Source organism: Homo sapiens, chromosome 1, assembly GCF_000001405.40.
Source record: "Homo sapiens chromosome 1, GRCh38.p14 Primary Assembly".
NCBI classification, from domain to species: Eukaryota; Metazoa; Chordata; class Mammalia; order Primates; family Hominidae; genus Homo; species Homo sapiens.
Window position 1 is genome coordinate 67,453,393 of NC_000001.11, and position 27,447 is coordinate 67,480,839.

Here is a 27,447-nt window from a genome sequence, read left to right on the forward strand (position 1 = left end):
ATTTTGTTGCCAGCTATAAAACACCAATTCTATGAACAAGAATACTTCTGTGACAGTGGGATGTTTTAATCCAGTAGAAAATGGAGTGGGAAAAAGATGATCCATAGTAGTCTTTAGGTTCACATTCTCTGTAACAAATATTCCCAACTCTGAAGTTGGCATGTGCATTGAACTATTCCCCATCATCAACAATAATAATGGTGATGATGACATTAATTATGCCATTTATATGTTTGTAAATGCTTTTCTTCCAAAGACCTCAAGTATTTTATGGACATGACCTAATTCTCCCTTACAACTTGCTCAAAGACAGGTCTAGCCTCATTTTCTAAATGAGGAAACTGCGGTGTAAAGAAGCTAAGTAACTCCTTCAAGGTCAAACAATTACCTAAGCAGCTTCAGTCTGGATCCCAGACTTTAATTTTCAGGTCATCTCCTTTTCTGCCTGCCTCTTTGTCTTTCTGGATCTCAGAGATGACAAGAGGGATGCAAGAAAAGACACCCATGATGTCAGATGTCAAAGTGCCCACTCCCTGCTTATCGCATAGTCAGTGATCAGTAAATGCTGGTTTTAAAAAAAAGAAGCTCTTGGGCCAGGCACAGCGGCTCACGCCTGTAATCCCAGCACTTTGGGAGGCCGAGACGGGCAGATCACGAAGTCAGGAGATCGAGACCATTCTGGCTAACACGGTGAAACCCCATCTCTACTAAAAATACAAAAAAATTAGGTGGGCGTGGTGGTGGGCACCTGTAGTCCCAGCTACTCGGGAGGCTGAGGCAGGAGAATGGCATGAACCCAGGAGGCGGAGCTTGCAGTGAGCTGAGATCACACCACTGCACTCCAGCCTGGGCAACAGAGCGAGACTCCATCTCAAAAATAAATTTAAAAAAAATGAAAAAATTAAAAAAAAAAGCTCTTTAAGACGGGCCTTCCTTATTTTTTTAATTAAAAAAAATTGTTTTTTAAGATAGAGACGGGATTTCACCATGTTGCCTAGGCTGGTCTCGAACTCCTAGGCTCAAGTAATCTGCCCACCTCAGCCTCCCAAAGTGCTGGGATTACAGGCATAAGCCACCACGCCTGGCCAAGAAGGGCCTTCTCTACTGCTACAAAAATATTAACTATTTAGCATACCTTTCTGCTCTCTGATAGCCACCTCGTGCCTATGCATCAAGATGCTATAAATAAATACAAACCTTGGTTGGTGAGAGAGGTCTAGTTTGGAAATACACATACACTGAAACCAATTCCTGCATGGAGTTGGGAAACAGAGATATTTGCTTTTTCTCTGTGAAAAGTCAACAGGAGCATAGCAAGGGAACTCATTTTTGCTGATCACCTTCTCTCGGCTAGGCTTTTTTCATAATTTATATGCAGGAAAAGTGATTAACCTTTGCAAATTAGGAAACAAGGTATCCAAAAAGTTAAGTAATTTATCTAATGTCACATAGACAGCAAGTGGCAAAGCTGAGATTCAACCTTACAGCTCTCTGACATTTAAGTTTCAACATCTTCCAAAAGTCCAAATAGCCAATTCATACAGCTTTACTCAAAGTACAGTGTGAGTCGTTTATGATCCATTTCATTTTTTACATAAAATGTTAGCAAGAGGCTGAGCATGGTGGCTCAGTCCTGTAATCCCAGCACTTTGGGAGGCTGAGGCGGGTGGATCACGAGGTCAGGAGCTCAAGACCAGCCTGGTCAAGATGGTGAAACCCCATCTCTACTAAAAATACAAAAATTAGCAGGGCGTGGTGGTGGGTGCCTGTAATCCCAGCTACTCGGGAGGCTGAGGTGGAGGATTGCTTGAACCCAGGAGGTGTTGCAGTGAGCCGAGATCACACCGTTGCACTCCAGCCTGGGCAACAGAGCAAGACTCTGTCTAAAAAAAAAAAAAAAAAAGTTAGCAAGAGAATAAAATAATCAGGTGAAATTTTTGAGTAATTCAATTTTGCTATTTTTAAGCCTTCCTCTTAAAACTTTAACAAATTGGCATATGCAGCTAACATTTGGAATTTGGGAAGCTCCATTTGAATTTTAATTATTTAGTCTTCCCTTTGCTCACCAGCATGGATAACTGATAGCTTTTTAGGTGAACATTTCAGTACATTTCCTTTTCCTATGGAGTTGACAGCCTGGATTTCATAGACAGCCACCTCTGAAGACCTGAGGAAGGTTAGAAATCTGGGCCTCTATGACATCAAGACCTTCTCAAGTGACGTGTTATTGTTAAATACTAAAGACTTTGGAAAGAACTTCACCTGATTCAATCACTTATATCATTCAAACTAGTAAAAAGATGATGCCAGTAGATATGTTATGTGTATTTAATATTGCTACCAAAAGCAAGCGCTAAAAAGCTTATACAAAGAGACATACTCAAAAGCACTATAGATTAATCAAAATGGAATTATCAAAAATGTTCAAGTAGCTCATGGGAAGGTATAAAAAAGAAAACAGAGAAAACAGAAATGACAACAGACAGAACAAACAGAAAACAAAGATAAAATGACAAACTTAAGACCTAACATGTTACTGATTACGTTAAGTGTAAATGATCTACATACACCAATCAAATAACAGAGAGTGGAAAACTGAATTAAAAATCGTGATTCAACTAAGTGTTGTCTATAAACAACTTACTTCAAACCTGGGCAACATAGTGAGACCTCATCTCTACCAAAAAAGAAAAACAACAACAACAGCAACAACAAAACAAATTAGCTGAGCATGTTAGCACAAAACAAAAACAAAACTTACTTCAAATATAATGACAGAGACAGGTTGAAAGTAAAAAGATAGAAAAAATGTTATCATGTAAATATTAATCCAAAGAAAGAGTGGGCCATAATAATATCAGATAAAGTAGACTGCAGCACAAAAAAAGTTATTAAAGAGAGAGGGAGAGAGAGAGAGGGATAATGTATAATGATAAAAGGAACACTATACCAAGAGGATTACATCAAGAAGACATAACAATCCTAAATGTGTGTGCACCAAACAACGGGGCTATAAGATATGTGAAGCAAAAACTGACAAAATTGAGAAGAGAAATAGACAAATTAGCAATTATAATTGGAGACTTCAGTACACCTCTTTCAACAACCAATATAATAAGTAGACAAAAAATTAACAAGGACTCAACAATATCATCTATCAACAGGCTCTAACTGATGTTTATAGACTGTCCCACCCCATAACAACAGAGTAAACAAACTTTTCAATTGTCCATGGATCATATATACAGATAGGCGACATCCTGGGCCATAAGACTTTTTTTTTTTTTTTTTTTTTTTTTTTTGGGCTGGAGTCTCGCTGTCTCCCAGGCTGGAGTGCAATGGTGCGATCTCGGCTCACTGCAAGCTCCACCTCCTGGGTTCACGCCATTCTCCTGCCTCAGTCTCCTGAGTAGCTGGGACTACAGGCACCCGCCACCGTGCCTGGCTAATTTTTTGTATTTTTAGTAGAGACAGGGTTTCACCGTGTTAGCCAGGATGGTCTCGATCTCCCGACCTCGTGATCCGTTGGGCCATAAAACTTTGACAAATTTAAAAGAAATGAAAACATACAAAATGTGTTATCTAATCACAATGAAATATAAGTAGAATAACAAAAAGATAACAGAAACATCTCCAAACACTTGAAAGCAAAACTACATCCATATAAATATTCCTGGGTCAAAAAGGAAGTCTTAAGAGAACTTTTAAAAAATTCATTGAAATAAATGAAAGTGCAACATATCAAACTTTGCAGGATACAACTAAAGCAGTACTTGGAGGTATATCTCTGTCCTCTGAATCCCCCAGCATTTTTCATGTTCCTTTTGCAAAACACTAAACTTTCTATTTTAAAACCATTATTTGTGCATCTTTCTTCTTCCTTAGATTGTGGGTGGAAACAATCTTCCTTATTTTTCTATGCTAGCATCTGGCTCAGTGCTCAGTAAAAGTTATTTGAATAAATGAATTACTGGACAGAACAAGCTACTTAGCTAAATGGAATTGAGGCCAAACCAGTTCCTGCATGGAGTTGGGAAGTGTTTTTAGTGATCTTATGCAAGGTACCTGGGCCGTTACACAATGGGGGCCACTGCACAGGCACAATTCTGAGCAACTGCCTAGTTTGTCTCACAGAAGAGCCTCCCTGGATATATAGCTGCCAAAAGTAGCATTTGCCAATAAACAATGAAAGTAGAGAAAATTCAACATACACAATTCCATATCTCTGTCCAGTTTGGTAAAGATAACTTCTTTAGTTAATTAAATCAGATCTGGCCTCTGGCCTCCTCTTATTCCCCTGCCTCAACTCTCCAACTTTTCCCATGCATCTCTCTTTCCCCTGCTCTATTCATAGAACCATAAAACCTCAATTCAGAAGGACAATAAAGGTCATCTAGTGTGGCTTCCCACTTAAAACCTAAATACCCTATAGTTAACATGGGGTTGAGCTATAAGTTTTTCTCAGAACCAACTCAACTTGGCCAGGTGCAGTAGGTTCATGCCTGTAATCCCAGCACTTTGGGAGGCTGAGGTGGGCCTGGAGGAGTACGAGACCAGTGTGGGCAACATAGTGAGACCCTCTCTCTACAAAAAATAAAAAATTAGCCAGGTATGGTAGTGCACACCTGTAGTCCCAGCTACTCGAGAGGCTGAGAGGCAGGAGGATTGCTTGAGCCCAGGGGGTCAAGGCTGCAGTGAGCCATGATCATACCACTGCACTCCAGCCTGGGGGACAGAACAAGACCCTATCTCAAAGACAAAACCAAAACCTAACAAACAAACAAAGAATGGACTCAAAATCCTCTGAGAAGAGCATTAGTATGAATCAAAATGTAAGACTAAGTTTAGTAACTGAGGAGGTGAACTAAGAGAGAAGCTGTGAATCCCCCAAAACAAGCATTTCTACTAAACACATAAAGGCAAATATATTTTTGGAAACATAGGTATAGTCAAAAGTTGAAAACACGTTTCTAAATGCCAGCATGAGAAAATCTGTCAATAGTCTTACATAAGGCTGATTTTATTCCTAAAGTACAATAAAATCCCTAACTATACACAGTCTTGACAATGTATTTCCAAGATTCTGTAGATGTGTTTACATCTCATTCTTTTCCTTCACAATTGATAATGCAGTCAATTGGCTGATATATCCAATATCCTACGTAGTTATATTTCTCAATGGGAGTAAGTAAATGGCTCTCTTGTTTTTATACACGTGTCTCTCGTGAGTTTGGTAAATTAGTATCTTAGTGTTTTTTGTCTCTTAGTGTACTTGTAATTTAATGTGTGAGCCCACAAAGAGGATAACCCTTCCAAGAAATCTGGTGACTATGTTCAAGTGATGCCACCCTTTGGTAAACTTGCTAGATGGTCAGCCAGTTTGCCTTGCCTAAGTAACATATGACTTTATCCCAGGCCTCTCTATTCAGATGACCACATCCTAACAATAGGTCACACTGCTTATACCTGACTCCTGTTAGAAAGAGAGAACTCAGTATTCATGAGATTACTTTCAGTCTTTGGCTGGTGCCTTTAGAAATGCTAAAACTTGCCATTTCCTTTTTTTCTCGTTGATCCTCATTCTACTCCTTGGAGCTATGGTGAGAAAATTTGAGCTTTAGTAAAGACAATGTTAAAAACCTAAAATGACAAACTAAATGAAGTAAAGAACCATGTAGCAGCAACAATAACATTATCTCTGCGCTTTTATTTTTCTTTTTTGATAATTAAAAAGCAAGGCAAGTACAGATACAGCAATCATCACCCCCATCAAAAACCTCACCAGAGGGACTCAAAGCCTGGGGGAGCCAGGGCTGCGAGTCAGCGGCAATTACCCTCCCACTGTGAAGTCAGCAGGACCCATGGCTGACTTAACCTCACCAGCCTCACTCAAGGTGCATAGCAACCAGCATTATTATAGTCTACTTAATAGTGTGTGCTACCTGCCAGGATTGTACATTAAGAAAAGGAAAGACTAGTGGGACCTGTTTGTCAGGCCCTAAAACTAGAATTTTCCTGGTTATACACACCACAAAATGAGTGTCAGCAACATTAAATAGTGGCAAGAGTGATGGGATCAAAAAGTTTGACTCGTGGTCTGCTGTCATTATTAGATGATGTAGCACCCACGTAGACTGACAAAGTCACATTTCTAACTTAGAAACAGTCTACCTCTTACTTTAGCTTTAAGGTGTACATTTGGCTTAAATTAGAGCTCTGAGCATTTTCTTGAAGCTGATTTTGAATTTATTAAAGAGTGTTTAAACCTTGAGATGGTGATGGGTGACTTCATAGAAAATGTGGACTCCAGAGCTAAAATGTTCCAAGCAGCTGATTGGAGGCGATGATTGAAAACTTTCATCTCCTCCAATAGATGAGTCAGTCACTTCTACGTTTGAACTTTCCCCTTGCGTCTCAGCTTCTAAATCCTGTTGGGATGCTGAAGTGGTCTGAGTTTGAAATATTAAACAGCATATCTGTGAGGCCAGCTGTAGGCTTTTAATCATTTGTAATTGTGACTCCTGGATGATAATAATTGATACAAAATGACCAGCAAGCCTAACAGACTAGATATCTTTCCTAGTTCTATCTTTTGGCATGTGGCCTCTGGGTTATTTCACAAGACACCTTCCCAGTCGCCCAGGCTAAAAGATTGGGGCTAATTTTCTTCACCTTCCTCTTCCCCTAACATCCCATTGGTTCTATTTAGAAACATGTTTGCATTTGCCACCTCCTTTCTATAACCACTGTCAGTGCTCTTTACCTTTCCCATCAGTTCAGGAGCCCCTAAACTAAAAAACACATTGACTATTAGCAGTTGTTACCTCTGGGTGAAAGATTAACAAGCTGTACATTATATAGCTAAAAATGTAAAAGATAGGCCAGCATGGTGGCTCATGCCTATAATCCCAGAACTTTGGGAGGCCAAGGTGGGTGGATCACTTGAGTTCGAGACCTGCCTGGCCAACATGGTGAAACCCAATCTCTACTAAAAATACACAGATTAGCCAGGCATGGTGGCGTGTGTCTGTTATTCCAGCTACTTGGGAGGCTGAGGCATGAGAATTGCTTGAACCCGGGAGGTGGAGGTTTCAGTGAGCCGAGATCGCGCCACTGCACTCCAGCCTGGGCAACAGAGTGAGACACCATCTCAAAACAAACAAACAAACAAACCCCAAAATGTAAAAGACTATATACATTATAGTCTTTGAAACTTTTAACTAGTATAAACATGCTTTGAAAATCAGAAAAAAATTTAATTATAAAAGGACATAGTAGAGCAATGTGTTATTCCAACAGGCCTGTTTGATGTGATAGGACAAGGATGGGATAGGCACATTTGAGAACAAACACATTTCTGTAAGTTTTTCTCATGTCACATAACCCAGAACCAAACTTTAGTTCCTGTAGTGGCTAACGCAGCACAACTGTCTTCTATAAATAGTCAGAAAAACTCAGTCTGGATTCTTATACAATATCATCTGACAGACATGATGGAAAAGGCATGTTACTAGAGGGCTGGGAGAAAGAGGAGTGAAGGAATGAGGAAAAAAGAAAGTCTTAAACCATTCCTAATATGAACTGATTTTTAGATCCTCAGTGTTAGACATGTGTAATAGGAACTGCCTTTATCCGAGACTCGCTGTTGAGACTCACTGGCTTACCATCACTGAGGAGTACCAGCAGCCCTCCCTGATTCACCTCTTTTTGCACGTATCACAGGTGCTATTTATGGAGCTGCCTGGGCAAGCTGCCTGGCCCCAGGGTCCAGCCCCAAGGAGGCCCTGCGTGCTTGGGGACAGGCTCTACTAAGGTTGGACAATTTTCAAAACTAGCCAACAGCTGCTACTGGGTTTTAAGAAAAAATGCCAACAGGGTAACGGGGAGGACAACACAGCAACTCTTGTGAAAAAAAGTTTTCATCTAGCCTCCTCACTTCCTATTGGATCCAGGCTGTAAATGGACCACACCCGCTTCCCATTAGCCCAAAGCCTGCAGGCTCAGGGGACCTGAGCGGGTAGCTTTGGGCTGCGAGTCAGTCTCCTCTTGGCTCAACTTCTCTGCAATTACTGCTTGTGGGGACTCTGGGATTAGGCCACAGCTTGTGTTTGCTTCTGCGGTCAAATGAGTTGCTGAGGCATGGGAGAAGGTACTAGAAGCATTTACCAAACATGCCTTCATTAATGAATACCTGCCTTAGCGAGAGCACCTGGATTGTATTTATAAAGAGCAAGGAACTAAGTAAATAAGACACACTCAACAAATGTCTGTTAAATGACTAGCAGAACACGGTGGTTAAGAGCATAGGCTCTGGAGATGGCCTCACTGGGATTCAAGTCCTGCTTAGCCATATGACCTTGGTAAAGTTGAAGCTTTCTAAGTAAGAACACCTGGTTTCTTGTTCAGACTCTAGTTTAATGACTGAGTGTGCAAGTCGTTGAACTTCTCTAAGTCTCAGTTTTCTCATTCATAAAGTGGGATAATTATACCTGCCTTGTCTAGCTTACAAGGTTGTCAGTGAGATCAAATGAGACAATGTCATAAAAGCCTTTTATAAGTTAGAATATCCTATACAAATGCAAGCTATTATTATGGATAATTCTAGTGACTAGTGAATAATAAACTGGTGGAACCAACAATCCCATTGTCACCAACTAAATCTTACAGAGCAATTTCCCAGTTCCACCCACTCTACCTTCTAGGCACTTCCACCTACTTCCTCCTATGACTTAAATAAATGACAAGAGAAAGAGAGTACCATAATAATTTTTCTAATTAACTTTCTCAATCAGAGTCCCATGAAGATGTGTGCCAAAGACAAGAGGAATGTGTAGCAGAGTGTTTATGTTTCTTTTAGGTCAGCTCTTTATTCCCCCACATATTTTTCACTTTGTTTGTCTCAGTGCTCTGAGACTGAGCTCATCTTCACTTTGTCTTCTGGGCATACATCAGCAGGTGAGGGTTCTGGTCTCTGTTTCGCCACAGTTGGCTATATGAGCATGCATGAGTTACATTCTTTTTACGCCCTCACTTTCTCCCATCTGCAAGACAGGGATTAAAGTAAATTACCCATTGGTCTTTTTCAGTCCTGTGGGTCTATAATTCTTTTAGAAGTGGGTTCCCTAACCCATCAACCCACTCTGAACATCTGAACAACTTTCCTTTTTTTTTTTTTTGGTAGAGACAGGACCTTTCTATACTGCTCAGGCTGATCTCAAACTCCTGGGCTTAAGCTGTTTTCCTATCTTGGCCTCCCAAAGTGCTGAGATTACAAACGTGAGCTACCATGCCTGGCCCAGACAACTTTCTTCAATCTTTTTGGTAGTAGGCCTGTGTAATTTGTGCTGGGGTAAGATTTAGTGCAAAAGAAAAAGTCACAAACACAGTAATAACAGAAGGTGTCTGCTAAGCTAAGCTTCTCTCCAAATCTTCCCATCCCGCACCCCCACTTTTTTTTTTTTTTTTTTGGAGACGGAGTCTCACTGTGTCACCCAGGTGAGAATGCAGTGGCTCATTGCAACCTCCGCCTCCTGGGTTCAAGCGATTCTCCTGCCTCAGACTCCTCAGTAGCTGGGATTACAGGCACACACCACCATGCCCAGCTAATTTTTGTATTTTTAGTAGAGAGGGGGTTTCACCATGTTGGCCAGGCTGGTCTTGAACTCCTGACCTCATGATCCACCCACCTCAGCCTCCCAAAGTGCTGGGATTACAGGCCTGAGCTACTGCGCCCAGCCTCCTCTCCCCTTCTGAAGCTTTCTCTAGAGTGGGTTAAAAAGAGAAAGCCCCTTTTTAAAGAGGTAAACGCCACAGTTGGGAAGTTGGAGTAGATTTGGATTGTGAAACTGGATTAGATCCTTAGCACATTTATATATATATTTTTGCAATTTGGGGCCAGCTAATTAGCTTGAATCTTGGTTTCCTCATCTTTAAAATGGGGCTAACATCTGCCTTATTTACTTTATAGGCTTGTTGTTAGGAGTAAATGAAACATAACGTAAAAGCACTTTGTCGTCTTTATTTGCAATACAACAGAGGTTGATTCTGGCATCTGAGGGCATAACTGGGAACTTAGATCTATGCAGACCAAAAACCAAAAATAGAATCACCATTGCACAGAGCCTAGAATAAAAGCATTACTAGCTGCCTACCCATCCTTCCCTCTCCACAGTAAATTTTTCCCAGGACCTTTGCATTGAGCTACTTGCTGAATATTCTTATTCTCAGATGATTCAGACCTGCTTTCTTTAAAATGCCTCATATGTCTAACACGTAACTACCACTGTATTTAGAAACCTCTGAGCAGAGCCACGGAATCTGGAACTGCTTCCCGCAGCCAAGCTCCATAGGTACACGACACAACTGCCAGCTGCTTTTCATTGCAAATCAGCTTGATCCAATTGCACTGACAGCGACAGGCTGAATGTAGGCCAGCAGCAGGGGTTCATACTGGCTGAATGTAAGCCAGCTCATATACTTGAAGAGGACTAGCTAGGACAAGTCACTTCACCACTTAGCATAATTACCTTTAATGGGTTTAGGGCTGTCTACCTGGAGGAAGTGAACGACTTACGAGATTCTATGAACCTATTTTCCTCTTCCCAGTCCACACTCTCTCACCTGAGTGATCTCATTTTTTCCCAGCCTTTTCTGATGACTTCTACATCTCTATCCTGAATCTAGATGTCTCATCTCTGGTCTAAGCTATCATCTGTCCACCGCTTGTCTTACCTGGATGTCCCACTGTCACCTCTAACTCAACAGGTTCCAGGTGGATGTCCTCATCCACATATCCACAAACCAGCTTCTGCCCTCCTTCTGGTACTTTCTTTCCAGTGATCTCTATCTTAGTGAATGACACTTCATCCACCCAGTCATCTAAACAAAGGGATGGCCCTTGAAATCTCCCTCCTACAGCCCATCTTTCATCAAGCCTTAGCAATTGTACTTCCTCAATATCTCTGGAATTTATCTACTTCTCTCCATCCCCGCTGCCACTAGCTAAATTCAGGGTGTGATTATCTTTTACCTGAATTATTGCAAGAGCCTTCCAACTGGTTTTCTCACTCCTACTCCAGCCCTCCCCCCACCAATCCATGTTCCACAACAGGGATGTTCTGAAGTTTGCAAGTCTGATCAGGCCACGGATTTCCTTGCTCAAATGTTTAAATAGCTTTTCAGTCCTTAGGGAAGAAAACTCAAGCTCCTTGACATGGCCTTCCAGGCCCAGCGTAATGTGCCAAGCTTACTTCTCCAGCCTCACTTTTCATCATTCCCTCCCTTTCATCTATGTTCTGGTCCAGTGGCTCTCATCTCAACCTGGCTGCACATTAAAGTCACCTGGGAAGCTTTTAAAACATACCCAAGGCTGGGCTCTATCCAAGACCAATGAAACCAGAACCTCTGGCCGTGGAGCCCTAACAGGCTGCTTCTGAGTTCCAGCAGAGCAACACCCACTCTCTCATCTTTTATCCTTTGCACACACTCTTGGCTTTGACTGAGATACTTTCCCTTGACCTCGCTTCCCCTCCTGCCACCTGGCTGACTCATTCATCCATCAAGCCTCAACTGGGGCATCACGTTGTGCCCCAAGAAGCCCTCCACCAGCCTGGTGCTCCGGGTCTGGGTTAGTTGCCTCCCACATGTGCTTCCAGAGAGATTGCTCTGCATTTTGCCTACTGGCCGTAGCACCTGTCATCCTATACCATCCTTGCCTGAATGCTCTGCTGGACTTGAAACTATGAGAGCAGGGCTGGGCCTGCCTTGCTTCCCCCTGAACCCCCAGCATCTAGCACAGTGTCTGCACATAGTGTGTGCTCACAGTGTTTATGGAAATCACTAGTTAGTTTTATAGAGTGACCCTGGTTACTCCGGACTTGCCAGTCCTTTGTAGTAGCAAGGTCTCTAGTCATATCCATTTCTGAGTTCCTTTATTCACTCATCTGTACATTCTCTTAACAAAATTTGAGAATCTGGTATATTATAGGTACTAATCATTTCAAAATAAAATTGGACTTTTTCAAGTTAAAAATTCTTCACTATTGGGATCTGAGATATATCTGAGGCGAGGCAAGGAAAGGATCTCACAATTTCAGTTTGCCTTGGTCACAGAACCACAGCCAAAGACCTAGGCAGCTTCCTGTTTGTGTTCGCCTTACTCTTCTTCCTTACAGGGAACCAGGCCAGGAATGACAATCATTTCCAAGGACTGCCTCTCCGGATGCTTGAGACCTTGAACAAGAATGACTAAAAAATTGAAGGGATTATAGTAAGCCCTGAGTTGATGATGAAAACAGGTAAACACTGGCTTCTTGAGCAGCCAATAAGGGAAAACACAGGTGTACATCATCCCAACCCACCCTGCTCGGGGAGCCTCTATCCCCACCAACAGCTTTAGAGGCCCACCTGCAGAAACCAGACAGCCAGAGCCCTGGGACTATAGTGAGGTTAGTGTGTATGATTCCCAGGGAGTGTGGAAATTCCTCAGCTCTTCTCCAACCTGCACAGAACTGGTTTTACGCATCAGAACTCTGTATCATCACCAAGAAGACCTGGTGAGATCCCAGCTTCACCTCATATAAGTGAACCAAGGAGAGTAAAACTAACCAAATGCAAGTGGAAGGGGAGAGGGAGAAGAAAGGGTAGGAGGCAGAGGCAAGAAGAAACCTAAATCATAATAGTGGTAGTAGTAAGATTGGCTAACATTTAGTGAACACTTACACTGTGCCAAGCATTGTGCCTTACATTCAGCCCTTACAAAGAGACCTCAAACTCTGATCACTGCTGTGGATACAACCCTGTGTTCTTAGCCATGATGCCAAAATCTGTGCCGGGAATCAAGTCAAGAGAAGGCTAATGGCTTGGAGATGTGAGGAAAATGGAGCAATTGGATTGTCTGCTTTCATGGAGGTGGGGTAAAGGAGGCTTGGAAAAGATGGGGGTTTTGAAGAACAGAGAAATTCCAAGCTGGAGATGGTTGAATGAGAGCCCCAGATTATGATGATGAAGGCTGGAATATGACTATGCTGTACCTGGATGGCTACGCTGTGCTGTGTAGAAGGAAGATGGGAAGTGATCAAATGTCACTGAAGTAGAAGATGAAGTCATCAAAGATGGTTGGGTTGGTGGGAAGAACAGGAGGATAAAAATTTCATTCTTCTTGGCTGGGAATGGTAGCATACACCTGTAATCCCAGCATTTTGGGAAGCTGAGGCAGGCGGATCACTTGAGGCCAGAAGTTCAAGACCAGCCAGGCCAACATGGGGAAACTCTGTCTCTACAAAAATATAAAAAATTAGCCGGGTGTTGTGGCACACACCTGTAATCCTAGCTACTCAGGAGACTGAGGCAGGAGTATCACTTGAACCCAGAAGGCAGAGGCTGCAGTGAGCCAATATCACACCACTGCCCTCCAGCAGAGTTTCATTCTTCTTGTCAGTTTGAGCTCTGCTGTGTGATAGGCAATACACTAGACTCTGTGGATACAGAGGTGGACAGGACAAATAGGGCCCTGTGAACATAGAGCTTATGTTTTGTAGGAGTGACAATCATCAGCAAACAAGTATGCAAGAAAGATGCCACATAACGTTAAGTGTCGGTAAGTGACAGAGTGGGCACTGCAGATTGGGTGGTTCAGGAAGGCCTCCTTGAGAAGGTGACATTTAAGTGGGATACCAAAGGCAAGAAGAAGTTAGCCATGCAAAAATCAGGGGGAAGAGCATTTCAAACCCAGAAAACAGCGGGTACAAAGGCCCTAAGTGGTAACAAGTCTGGCAGGAAGAAGAACAAGGCCAGGGTAGTTGGAATGTAATGAATAGCCAGGGAGTGGTATGGGATGAGGTCTGAGAGGTGGGCAAGCACTGGATCATTTAAGACCTTATTGTCCACAGTTTGTTGTGTGGATTTTAATCTAGGGACAGTAGGAAGCTGTAAAGAGTTTTCACTGGAGGAGGGATGATCTGGGGTGCGTGTGTGTGTGTGTGTTTATAAAAGTTATCTTAACTATGGAGTGGCAATGGATTAGAGAAGAGAAATAGGGTCCCCAGAAGAAACAAACTGTCTTTCACAAGCCATCGTTGGGTTGAGTTGGGTTTTATTTTCTCAGATCTTGAAGTAGAATGCATTTCCAAGGGTCAATTCCCAAGGTCGAGAGTAATCAGAGGCCGGGTGCAGTGGCTCATGCCTGTAATCCCAGCACTTTGGGAGGCCGAGGCGGGCAGATTGCCTGAGGTCAGGAGTTCGAGACCAGACTGGCCAACACGGCGAAACCCTATCTCTACTAAAAATACAAAAATTAACCAGGCATGTTGGTGGGTGCCTTTAATCCCAGCTACTCAGGAGGCTGAGGCAGGATAATCGCTTGCACCTGGGAGGCAGAGGTTGCAGTGGGCCGAGATCACGCCACTGCACTCTAGCCTGGGCGACAGAGTGAGACTCCACCTCAAAAAAAAAAAAAAAAAAAAAAAAAAAGAGTAATCCAAGGAGTCTGTCTGCTCCCTGTGGCTGTTTTTAGGAAGTCAGAGAGGCACAGACCAAACCTCTTATTATGGAGTGCAGGGTATGTATGTGTTTTTCCTTTCCACTGAAAAACAGACAACAGAAGAAGAAACGTGTTTATTTGAATCTCTCTCTGCAGAGGGTGTGCCACCGGCCACCCCCTCTCCCAAGATACCTGAAGACCCTTGCCTGGTATCTTTATCCTTCCAATAATTTAACAAATTAAGCCGTGCCTAATTTTCTAAGCTGATTTCCTGAGGGCTCTAACTTGGGAGGCCCCTTTCCTGTCATAGGAACCAGCAGACTGACTTGGTTTTCCTTTCTTGCTCTATTGCTAGAGCCATGGAGGTGGGAGTCCCTTTCCTGGCTCCATACCACCCTCTCCCCAGGCTGCCAAATGTCCCTCTGGGCCCTCTATTCCCCCTGCTCCTTGGTGTCCTGACTCATTTTCACCGGATTTCATCTGGACAGCATGTAGGGGTGAGGGAAGGGACAACTGGGTCAGGGCAGCCCACGGAGATGTCTTTGCACCCCAGGCAGCTGCTGCCCTGGCTTCCTAAGCCTGGGGCAGTGGGCAGGCTGTGCCTGATTCCAGCCAGGGTTCCATAAATAAACTGCCATGAAGTTGCCAGCAGAAAATGTGGATGATTCAGAGCAGGAAACCAGTCTTTCCTGACTCTTCCTTCAGTTCTGGTTGCCATGAGACTGCACCAAAGGCCACTGTACAAAAATGGTTCATGTAGAGTGAGGACACACTATGTACCTGGCTCTGCACTCGGATCTGCAGGCCCATCCCATGGGATGCTTCCAATCTTACTACAGAGAAGGGATTTTTGTCTTCATTAGAGGAGGCTCTGTGGGGTTTAGTAACCTACCTGTCTAAAGTAATAGAGATGAGATTCTAACCCTGTCAGTCAGGGCCCAAAGCCCCAAGGGGCTTAACCGTGACTTGGCCTTAAACCTTTCTATCTCCCCTACCATAAGTGCAATCTCAACATAACCTGATGTAGTGTATTTTCAGTATGACCATTACAATGTCTCATCCTAGACTCAACTATCCATGCGAAGATTCTTTCTCAGCGTGGGACCTGGGAACGTGTGGAGGAGGTTCTGTTTAATGACATCGAATCCAAGGTTCTGAATTATTCCCAAACAGCCTTGTTTTCCCAATTAATGAAATTTTAAGTGCCACACATGAAAGTGTGAAAGTTTGGAATTATAGACATAATGTTGTCAGTCCTTAACTGTTCTTTCCAGATTATTTTACATCAAATATGTATTTATTTTTTTATTAGGAAGAAAGAAAGGAAGGGTAAAAGAGGAAAAGTGGAGAATATGAGAATGATGGGATGGGGGAAAACAAAGGAAAATAAATTGTTTAGATTTGTCTCTGGTCATCCATGCTAATAAGCTTCCTGTGCAGAGGATCTCACTGCAGTTACATAGACTGCCTCTAGACTCGAATTCAGATCTGGCTGAAGGACAAAACCCTCATATCTGCAGTGTGGTCAACACGCCTGAACAGAGACGGAGCTCAACAAAGATTGGTGGTTGAATCAAGCGATCCAGGATACATAAGGAGTGCCAATATCTGGCCAGTTTGTATAACACGAGGTTAAGAGTCCCACAGGTTTATTCCCTTCTGAGGTGTGAGATCATTTTTAGTGGGACTCAGATTTTAGAGACTTGAGAAGAAAACTGATGTTATGATTCAGTGCAGTTCCTGAGGAAACACATGTAATTTTTTGGCCATATATTCTCAGCTTTTTGGCTCATTTGGCATATCTCCATGCTAAATTTAAAAGTAAATGTCAAACACGATTATTATATATGTGGAAATTCACCTCCCAGGGACTTATGTTCCTCATCTGGAAAATGAGGGGGTGGACCAGATGCTCCCTAAAGGGCTTTCTAGCATTTCTGTTCTCTGGTTTATGTATTTTGGGCATTGCATTTCACTTTTTGTTTACTACAAACTGAAAAGAGTGAAAAAGGATAATATCCAGCCTCCAATTCCCAATCATGTTACAGACTTACAAATTGGATATCTAAAGGCTTTTATTACCTTGGACCAAATAAAAAGAGTAGATCAGCATTCTGAGAAGATGCCTGGATTGTGGCCTTCAGATAAGTCCTAAGCCCAGGCATTTGTAACAAATGCCCCATCTCACAGAAAAAAGGATTATTCCATGCCTTTTAAGTGTATATAAAAAGGAATGAAGGCCAGGCGTGGTGGCTCACACCTGTAATCCCAGCACTTTGGGAGGCTAAGGCGGGCAGATCACAAAGTCAGGAGTTGGAAACCAGCCTGACCAACATGGTGAAACCCCGTCTCTACTAAAAATACAAAAATTAGCCAGGCATGGTGGCATGCACCTGTAGTCCCAGCTACTCAGGAGATTGAGGCAGGAGAATAGTTTGAACCCGGGGGTCGGAGGTTGCAGTGAGCTGAGATCATGCCATTGCACTCCAGCCTGTACGACAGAGCAAGATTCCATCTCAAAAAAAAAAAAAAAAAAAAAAAAGGAATGGGCCAGGCACGGTGGCTCACGCCTGTAATCCCAGCACTTTGGGAGGCCGAGGTAAGTGGATGACCTGAGGTCAGGAGTTCGAGACCAGCCTGGTCAACATGGTGAAACACCGTCTCTACTAAAAATACAAAAATTAGCCAGGCATGGTGGTGGGCACCTGTAATCCCAGCTACTCAGGAGGCTGAGGGAGGAGAATGCTTGAACCCAGGTCGGGGAGGTTGCAGTGAGCTGAGATCCCACCATTGCACTCCAGCCTGGGTAACAGACGAGACTCCATCTCAAAAAAAAAAAAAAAAGGGGGGGAATGAAAATAAGGTACTAAACCAAGACCAACTATGGCATTCAAGCAGTTCTAACTGTGTTTTCACCCAGAATGTGTGTGTTGTTTTTTGTGTTTTTGTGTGTGTGTGTTTAATTAATTTACTTATTTGAGACAGGATCGTACTCTGTCCCCCAAGCTGGAGAGCAGCAGCATGATCCTAGCTCACTGCAGCCTTGACGTCTGGGAGCTCAGTCTCCCACCTCAGCCTCCCAAGTAGCTGAAACTATAGGTGGATGATACCAGACTTGGCTAATTTTAGAGTATTTTTTGTAGACATGAGGTTTTGCTATGTTGCTCAGGCTGGTCTCAAACTCCTGGGATCAAGGAATTCTACTGCCTCAGCTTCCCAAAGTGCCAGGATTACAGGCGTGAGCCATTGCGCCTGGCCAATTATTATTATTTTTAAAGCAAATAATCTATAAATGACATCTACTTAGGCCTCCTTTATTTTAAAAGTCATTTAACTTTGCAAATAAACTCTCTAATGCTCAAGTATGTATAAGGTGGTATTTAATTGCAGAGTAAGATAGTAGTTGAGAGAAGAAGTCTTAGATATCTGCTTTGCCATGTAACTGGCTATGTAAAGTTGAGCAAGTTGCTTAACTCTCTGACTCTTTTTTTTTTTTTTTTTTTTTTTTTTTAACATAGAGTCTAGCTCTGTCACCAGGCTGGAGTTCAGTGGCGTGATCTCGGCTCACTGCAACCTCTGCCTCCCAGGTTCAAGCGATTCTCCTGCCTCAGCCTCCCAAGTAGCTGGGATTACAGGCATGCGCTGCCATGCCCAGCTAATTTTTGTATTTTTAGTAGAGACAGGGTTTCACTTTGTTGGCCAGGGTGGTTTCTATCTCCTGACCTCGTGATCCGCCCACCTTTGCCTCCTAAAGTGCTGGGATTAGAGGCGTAAGCCACCGCGCCCCGGCCAACAATCTGACTCTTTATCAAAGAAATGAAGATATTAATAGTTCACTCTTTCCTCCCCACCTTCCTCTCTTACTCCTTCCTTTCCTTCAACAAATACTTTTTGGGCAATGTGCAACTGAAGGCTCTGGAAACAAATACAGCAGTGAACAAAGACAGCCAAAGTTCTTTTTCTTTTTTCTTTTTTTTTTTTGTTTTGTTTTTGAGACGGAGTCTCGCTCTGTTGCCCAGGCTGGAGTGCAGTGGCGCCATCTCTAAGTGTAGAGTCCAGGTAGGGAAGACAGCAGGTACAAGGACTCCAAGGTGGGTGGTATGCTTGTAGTGAATGTTTGAGGAAGAGTGAGAAGTCTGAGGTGGCTGGAACATTTTAGCCCATGTAAAGCCTTTAGATTTTACTCTAAAGGAGCTGAGAAGCCACTGGAGGGTTTGAGCAGAAGGGTAATAACATGATCTAGTGTATGTGGAACAGGATCTGCTTTCCAGGTTGTTTTAATATGTGATTCGACAATGTGTTTAAAGACTGACTTCTCAGGTATGTGATGAGATTGGCAAGAGTTTATGAGGCAGGGCGTATGAAGTCCTTGGCCCAGTTCCTGGCAGCAGACTGCACTCAGGAGGTAGCTCTTATGATTAGGCTGTTAGTGAAGCTGATAGACCATCAGTAAAGTTCTTCACTGATGTTAATAGAGCATCTGCCTGGGGGCCAAGGAAATGAGGACAGAAAAACCACCATTTCTTGAGCACTTACTCTGTGCCAGGCTTGTACCTATTTAGTGTAGATACAATATAGATCAAAACAATACACTTTGAGGGAGGGAAAACAATGGCAGCTGACCCCAAAATAGCTCCTCTACTGTACCAATTTTGTCATGGTACCCAGAACTAGTCACAACTTTGGGCTGAGGTCATTATCTAGAATAGTAACATCAGGCCCTATCAACCACTTTTACCTTGAAGTGATTACATGGATCAGATTAACTAGCCACCCCAATGGTTCTGAAGTCTGATAGCCTAGGGTCAAAGTCTGGCTCAACCACTAACTAGCTGTGTGGCTTTGGGTAAGGTATTTAACCTCTCTGTGCTTCAAGTTTTCCACCTGTACCTTAGAGATGAGAGTGGTAACTATCTCTCAGGGTTTATGTGAGCTAAAGCGAGACAATGCATGTAAGTTCTTTATCAGGCATAAATGTTATTTGTAAAGTTGAATTAATTAGTGAGTCAACAATAAGAACTTTGAAGCACAGATCACAGGACTGATAAGTTTCTAAAAGAAAGCAAAAGGCCAAAAATATTATGGTGCACAGAAAAAGTCAGGTGCCAAGTAGAAGCCATAAGTACCTTGGAGAGGAAGGGAAAGCCTTTCTTTTCTTCCTTTCTTTCTTCCTTCCTTCCTTTCTCTCTCTTTCTTTCTTTCTTTCTTTGTTTTTTAGACGGAGTTTCGCTCTTTTGCTCATGCTGGAGTGAAGTGGCATAATCTCAGCTCACTGCAACCTCCGTCCCCCGTGTTCAAGCAATTCTCCTGCCTCAGCCTCCCGAGTAGCTGGGATTATAGGCACCTGCCACCATTCCCGGCTAACTTTTTGTATTTTTAGTAGAGATGGGGTTTCGCCATGTTGGCCAGGCTGGTCTTGAACTCCTGGACTCAAGTGATCCGCCCGCCTCGGCCTCCCAAAGTGCTAGGATTACAGGCGTGAGCCACCGCACCCGGCCGGAAAAGCCTTTAAGTCTAGGGCAAAGGGACAGAGACAGAAAGGATGCTGGAAGGGTTATAAAGACATGTTCAGTCTGCTTCTCAATTTTGCCAGAAATCCATTCTGTCAAAATAGTGTCTTCGTAGTTAGTCACCTGGGTATGGTATAAGGCCTCTGATTCTCTGAAGGAAGATGGACTCCATCTATGCTCTGTAGCTCTACCTTGCTTTAAGACAATCTGATGAAAGGCTAGAATAGAATAACTGATGCTAAGAGGGTCTATAGAACTCATTAGTTCAACCCCCTCATTGAGCAGATGAGGACCTTTCTGCCCCAGAGAGATTAAAAGATTTGCTTATGGTCACACTGACAGTTAATGACACAGCAGGGACCAAACCCAGCCTGCCTTAATTCCTAAACCACTGTAAGTTCCAACCTCCCTTTCTGCCTCTGCCTAAAAGATAAATTAATAGGTAGAGATTTGCTAGTCAAAAAAAGTCACAATAAAAATTTCTTTTATTATTTATTTATTTAGAGACGGAGTCTCGCTCTGTCGTCCAGGCTGGAGTGCAATGGTGCAATCTTGGCTCACTGCAACCTCCGCCTCCCAGGTTCAAGTGATTTTCCTGCCTCAGCCTCCCAAGTAGCTAAGATTACAGGTGACTGCCACCACGCCCAGCTAATTTTTGTATTTTTAGTAGAGGCAGGGTTTCACCATGTTGGCCAGGCTGGTCTCGAACTCCTGGCCTCAAGCTGTCCACCCCCCTCACCCTCCCAAAGGTTTGGGATTACAGGCGTGAGCCACAGTGCCCGGCCCTCTTTTACTTATTTATTTATTTGGTTAGAGATAGGGTCTCACTCTGTTACCCAGGCTAGAGTGCAGTGGTGTGATTGTAGCTCACTGCAGCTTTGAACTCCTGGGCTCAAGCAATCCTCCTGCCTCAGCCTCCCTTGGAGCTGGGACTACAGGTGTGCACCATCACATCTGGCTAATTATTTTATCTTTAGTAGAGACACAGTCTTGCTTTGTTGCCCAGGCTGGTCTATGAACTCCTGGCCTCAAGCCATCCTTCCACCTTGGCCTCCCAAAGGGTTGAGATACAGGTGTATCAACCACTCCTGAATGGTCAGTTGTCCTAGAGCAGAGCTGCCTATTAGAAATATCAAGTGAATGGCCGGGCACTGTGGCTCACACTGGTAATCCCAGCACTTTGGGAAGCCGAGGAGGGTGGATCACTTGAGGTCAGGACTTCGAGACCAGGTTGGCCAACATGGTGAAACCCCGTCTCTACTAAAAATAAAAAAATTAGCTGGGCATGGTGATTCGCACTTGTAGTCCCAGCTACACAGGAGGCTGAAGCAGGAGAATCGCTTGAACCCAGGAGGCGGAGGTTGCAGAGAGGCAAGATGGTGCCTCTGCACTCCAACCTGGATGACGGAGCAAGACTCTGCCTCAAAGGAAAAGAAAAAAAAGAAAAAGAAATATTAAGTGAGCCACATAGCCACATATGTAATTTAAAATTTTACAGTAGACACATTTTAAAATGTAAAAAAAGGTAAAATTAATTTTAATAATATATGTTAACTCAGTATATCCAAAATATCATTCCAATATAAAAAGATTATTGAGATATTTTACATTCTTCTTGCTGTGAAGTCTTCAAAATCTGGTATATATTTTACACTTACAGAACTTGGCAATTTGGGCTGGCCACATTTCAAATGCTCAATAACAACAGGTGGCTAGTGGGTACCACATTGGGCAGCGTAGCCCTAAAGCATTAAGATGCTCTAGGTTTAACTGACTTTATTTTTTATTTTTTTTCTTGAGACAGAGTCTTGCTCTGTCGCCCAGGCTGGAGTGCAGTGGCACAATCTCGGCTCACTGCGACCTCCACCTCCCGGGTTCAAGCAATTCTCCTGCCTCAGCCTCCTGAGTAGCTGGGAATACAGGTGTGTACCACCATGCCTGGCTAATTTTTGTATTTTTTTAAGTAGAGATGGGGTTTCACCATGTTGGCCAGGCTGGTCTTGAACTCCTGACCTCAAATGATCCACCCGCCTCAGCCTCCCAAAGTGCTAAGATTACAGGCATGAGCCACCACACCTGGCCTCTTAATATGGTTTAATTTGGTGTAATAGGTATAAAATAGGTATAATACAGTGTAGTTTTTCTCTTACAGTTTAATTTTTATAAAATTCGACTTAAACTCATATTTCTAAGATCATTTATATTACATAAAATCAGGAACACACATCTGTGATTATATTTTTCATTTAGTCATTTCATCATTCATTCAGCAAAAAGATTTATTAGCCTTTCTTCCTATGTGCCAGGCACTGGGGACATAGAAGTGGGCATGAAAGATAATGTTCTTACTCTTATAGAACTGCAATTCTAGGGGGAGAGACAGACAATAAACAAGTCAACCAATAAAGAAGCAAGAGAAGTTTAGATAGGGAGAAGTGGTGAGAAGATTGGAAAGCCAAGCCATGTAATCAGAATAAACTGGGGAAAGAAGGGCCTCCTATTTTAGTATGAATGGTCCAAAGAGGTGTTATTTGAGCTGAGCCTAAATGAAATACTGCAAGGTGAACAGTGGGAACAGTTGTTTAAAAAAAAATAAACTGAAACATGTTTTGGAAAAAACCCAACTTAAGCCTTTGCAGGTTTTCACAGTGGAGGAACTTTCCATCAGTACGCTGCAGGGTGATGAAGGCTAGGGAGCCAAAAATGAGATGGGTCAGGTAAGGAGTTCAAACAAAGGGGCAAGCAAAACAGATGTGGGGGAGGACAGAATCAGAAAATTCACAGAGTAAGAAACTGGAAAACAAACTAGTGAGGGAAATGTTTGCTAATCAAGTTAGCAAGGACTTAAAAACATACTAAATCCCTTGCAATTACGGCAAAAAGGAAAAAAAGAGCTTTTACATATATTGCCACAGGCATTGTAAATCAATAAAACCCTTTGAGAAAGCAATTTGCTGGCACATGTTAAGCACCTTTAATGTGCTTATTCCCTTTGCTTGACAGTTCCATTTCTAGATTGTTATATACTCATTTATTGGTTTTTCTAGGTTTTATTGATTTATTTGAAAAAATTGGCCAGGTGTGGTGTCTCATGCCTATAATCCCAGCACTTTAGGAGGTCAAGGGAGAAGGATCACTTGAGGCCAGGAGTTTGAGACCAGCCTGGGCAACATAGTGAGACACCATCTCTGCAAAAAGAATTAAAAATTATCCAGATGTGGTGATGTGTGCTTGTAGTCATAGATACTTGGGAGGCTGAGCCAGGAGGATCGCCTGAGCCCAGCAGTTCAAGGTTACAGTGAGCTATGATCACATCACTGCACTCCAGCCTGAGTGACAGAGGGAGATGCTGTCTCTTAAAAAACAGAAAAAAAATAATTATAGATGTAAAGTCTTCATGGAATTTATTATAGCATCCCCAAATTAGAAAGATTACAATATCTTCAAATCAATGGCATATTTTTCAGTCATTAAAAAACACATCCATATTCACATGTGAAAGAATGACATTGAACCCCTTTCTCACACCATACACAAAGATTAACTTGAAATGGATCACAGACCTAAACGTAAGAACTAAAACTATAAACCTCTCAAAAGAAATATAGGAGTCACTGGGGGCAGTGGCTCATGCCTGTAATCCCAGCACTCTGGGAGGCCAAGGCAGGAGCTCAGGAGTTTGAGACCAGTCTGAGCAACATTGCATAAACCCTGTCTTTACGAAATAATGCAAAATGTTAGCTGGGCATAGTGGTGTGTGCCTGTAGTCCCAGCTACTTGGGAGGCTGAGATTAGAGGATTGCTTAAGCCTGGGAGACGGAGGTTGCAGTGAGCTGAGATCACGCCACTGCATTCCAGCTCGGGTGACAGAGTGAGCCCCCATCTCAAAAAAAAAAAAAAGAAATATAAGAGTAAATGTTTGTGACCTTGGGTTAGGCAAAGCCTTTTAGGTATGACACCAAAATCACAAGCAATAAGAGAAAAAAAGTACACAAGCTGTATTTCATCAAAGTTTAAAAGTTTTTGTGCTTCAAAGGACACCACAAAACAACGAAAAGACAGTCTACAGAATGGGAGAAAATATTTGCAAATTGTTTATCTAATAAGGAACTTGTAACCAGATTTTACATATATGTAAAAAATATATATTTTATAAGTAGAGTACACTCTAAAATAATGATCAAAAGTATAGTATAGGCCAGTTGCCATGGCTCACACCTGTAATCCCAGCACTTTGGGAGGTTAGAGGGCAAATCACTTGAGCCAGAGGAATTCAAGACCAGCCTGGTCAACATCGTGAAACTTTGTCTCTACAAAAAATACAAAAAAAAAAATTAGCCCTGTGCCAGGCGTGGTGGCTCACGCCTGTAATCCCAGCACTTTGGGAGGCCGAGGCAGGCGGATCACGAGGTCAGGAGATCAAGACCATCTTGGCTAACATGGTGAAACCCCATGTTACTAAAAATACAAAAAATACAAAAATACAAAAAATTAGCCATGTGTGGTGGCGGGCACCTGTAGTCCCAGCTACTAGGGAGGCTGAAGTAGGAGAATGGTGTGAACCCAGGAGGTGGAGCTTGCAGTGAGCCGAGATCACGCTACTGCACTCCAGCCTGGGTAACAGAGTGAGACTCCATCTCAAAAAAAAAAAAAAAAAAATTAGCCCTGCATGGTGGCACATGCCTGTAGTCCCAGCTACTTGGGAGGCTAAGGCAGGGGGATGGTTGGAGCCCAGGAGGCAGAGGTTGCAGTAAGCTGAGACTGAGCCATTGCACTGCAGCCTGGGTGACAGAGTGAGACTCTGTCTCAAAAAAAAAAAAAGGTATAGTAAATACATAAACCATTAACATAGTCACTTACTATTAGGTATTACATACTGTACAAATTGTATGTGCTATACTTTTATAGAACTGGCAGCACAATAGGTTTGTTTACACCAATATCACCACAAACACCTGAGTAATGTGTTGCAATATGACATTATGACTGCTACAATGGCACTAGATGAATTTTTCAGCTCCATCCAGCTCTGGAATTTTTCAGTTCCCTTAGAATCTTATGGGATCACTGTCATATATGTGGTTTGTTGTTGACTAAGACATCGTTATGTGGGAAGACTGTAATTCCATGGATATGAAATGTCTAGAGTAGGCAGATCTTTGAGATGGAAGATAGATTAGTGGTTGCCTGGGACTGGGGGTAGGGCAGGATGGGAGTGGAGCGTGGCTGCTAATGGGTGTGAGGTTTCTTTGCAGGGTTACAAAAATGTTCTAAAATTGATCGTGGTGATGGTCACACAATTCTGTGTTTCTACTAAAAACCATTACATTATATACTTTAAATGCATGAATTATATGATATGGGAATTATATCTTAATAAAAGTTGTAAGTATGTTTGTGTAAAGTATATACTAATGGGAGAAATGTTCATAAAGTGTATGCATGATTTGGAATTATGTATTGTACAACTACGATTATACTTATTTAGAAAAGAGATGAAAAGCTCTGACATAAACTCCGACAAGAACCCCACCAAAGTGTTAATGAAGGTTGCTTTTGGGTGGTGAACTAGGGTTGATGTTTTTTTCCTTTGTTGAGCAGGTCTTACTTTTATAAATGTTTTTTAATGAAACAAATGAGGAGACCTATTTCCAAAGCAGTCCTTGGGTGTAATCCTCATTAAATATGGCCAAACAGTAAGCAACTGAAGAGAGTTTCAACTGTCATCCTGCAGAAAACAAAGTCTAATTGAGATAAAAAAATGATGTTTTCCACACTGCCTCTTACCCCCTGTTCCTCCACCACTCAGACCCATAAAAGAAAATGATTCAGAAAGTCCTGAGCAAGTAAAACCTGGAAACCACGTGCTTCCATCTGGTAGCCTCACACCGTGGAGGGGAGGGGCAGTCCACTGCCACCGGGACTCCAACAGTGAGAGTGGAGTGAGGGAGGCCTATGTCCCCACTGGAGCCGTGAGTTATAGCCTGGGCCAGATATAAGGAGAAGTTTTATTTTTTTCCTTGACCACACACCATGTACTTATCTCTACTGAGAAAACCAGCTTTTCCTTCTTACCTCCCAAGAGGAGGAGCCAGTGCTGAGCTCAGGTCCCTGGCTGGGGTTACACCTCCCAGCTGGCCTCTGTCCAGGCCAGCCGGTTGTCCATCTCTATCTTAGAGGAACAGCTTTGACAAAGTCCTTGGCCCTGTTTGGAAATCTTCTTCCCCTTGCTCTTCCAAACAAAATTAATTTGAAGCAGTTGGGTTAATCTGTCGTTTTCCCTCCGAGGAGCATGTGTGCATTTGAGGGGCTGGGGGACGGAGATCTTTTAGAGACAGCCCTGAGGCCACTCTCCTGGGGCCCACATCCCTCCTCAATATTGATCATCTGAAGTGCATTCAGAGGTGCACCCAGGATGGAGAGGGGTTTGGAGCCTGCTCTCTGGGGAAATAGTGAAGGATCTGGGGCTGCTTAGCTTGGAGAAAAAAAAAAAAAAAAAAACGCCGGAAGCTCCTGAGAGTTGTCTCAATGAGCTGTTAACATGGAAAGGTTTATTTTGGAATGTCTCAGAGAAAAACTGGAACCACTATGGAGAAGTTGCAAGGAAGAAAGCTGCCTTAACATCAGAATTTTTTTTTTTTAAGACGGTCTCATTCTGTCACCCAGGCTAGAGTGAGGTGGCTCGATCTCAGCTTACTGCAACCTTCGCCTCCTGGGCTCAAGACATCCTCTCACCTCAGCCTCCTGAGTAGTTGGGACTACAGGCACTCACCACCACACCTGGCTAATTTTTTGTAGAGATGGTTTTGCCATGTTGCCAAGGCTGTTCTTGAACTCCTGGGCTCAAGGGATCCTCCCACCTCAGCTTCTCAAAGTGCTGGCGTGAGCCACCGAGCTTGGCCAGCAAGAAATTTTAATAGCTAGAATTTTCTAACATGCAACAGTCTCCATAGTTGAGGAGGTGAGTTCCATCCCAGGAAGGCCATGTAAGAAGCTTGTGGCAGGCATTAGTAACTCGAGAGTACAAAATATTTTTCAACAATTATGTAGCTCTTATTATGTGCCAGGCATTGTTCTAAGTACTTTTTATATACTACCAATTCCTGGAATACTAACACAACCTTCTGAAACAAATATATTATTATCTCCAGTTTACAGATGAGGAAATATAAGACCCAGTTGGGTTTGCTGGCATGTGCCTGTAATCCCACCTACTTGGGAAGCTGAGGTGGGAGGATCTTGAGTCTAGGAGTTTGAGGCCAGCCTGGGCAACATAGCAGGATTCCATCTCTTACAAAAAAAAAAAAAAAAAAAAAAAAAGGCTCAAAGAGGTTCAGTAAGTGGCTCAGGGCCACACTGTGACTCAAACCCAGGTAGTCTGGCTCCAAAATCCATGCTTTTAACTATTGTAGTAAGGTCATATTTATATTAATACACCAAGACATGATTGTAGGCCCC

At 42.9% G+C, this 27,447-nt stretch overlaps 5 annotated features.

The window, feature by feature from the left end:
* Nucleotides 5,219–6,142: an enhancer, noted in NCBI's record as "OCT4-NANOG hESC enhancer chr1:67924294-67925217 (GRCh37/hg19 assembly coordinates)". NCBI's record gives its function as "activates a minimal SCP1, AML or CMV promoter by ChIP-STARR-seq in naive and primed H9 embryonic stem cells {active_cell/tissue: H9 hESC(naive and primed)}" and the evidence as "EXISTENCE:reporter gene assay evidence [ECO:0000049][PMID:30033119]".
* Nucleotides 7,820–8,320: an enhancer, noted in NCBI's record as "H3K4me1 hESC enhancer chr1:67926895-67927395 (GRCh37/hg19 assembly coordinates)". NCBI's record gives its function as "activates a minimal SCP1, AML or CMV promoter by ChIP-STARR-seq in primed H9 embryonic stem cells {active_cell/tissue: H9 hESC(primed)}" and the evidence as "EXISTENCE:reporter gene assay evidence [ECO:0000049][PMID:30033119]".
* Nucleotides 20,201–20,401: a silencer, noted in NCBI's record as "peak278 fragment used in MPRA reporter construct". NCBI's record gives its function as "represses an SCP1 promoter by STARR-seq MPRAs in K562 erythroleukemia cells {active_cell/tissue: K562}" and the evidence as "EXISTENCE:reporter gene assay evidence [ECO:0000049][PMID:32103011]".
* Nucleotides 24,347–24,529: a silencer, noted in NCBI's record as "fragment chr1:67943422-67943604 (GRCh37/hg19 assembly coordinates)". NCBI's record gives its function as "represses an EF-1alpha promoter that drives an FKBP-Casp9 reporter gene in an ReSE screen in HepG2 liver carcinoma cells and phorbol 12-myristate 13-acetate-treated (for megakaryocytic differentiation) K562 erythroleukemia cells {active_cell/tissue: HepG2 | K562(+PMA)}" and the evidence as "EXISTENCE:reporter gene assay evidence [ECO:0000049][PMID:32094911]".
* Nucleotides 26,062–26,201: a silencer, noted in NCBI's record as "fragment chr1:67945137-67945276 (GRCh37/hg19 assembly coordinates)". NCBI's record gives its function as "represses an EF-1alpha promoter that drives an FKBP-Casp9 reporter gene in an ReSE screen in HepG2 liver carcinoma cells {active_cell/tissue: HepG2}" and the evidence as "EXISTENCE:reporter gene assay evidence [ECO:0000049][PMID:32094911]".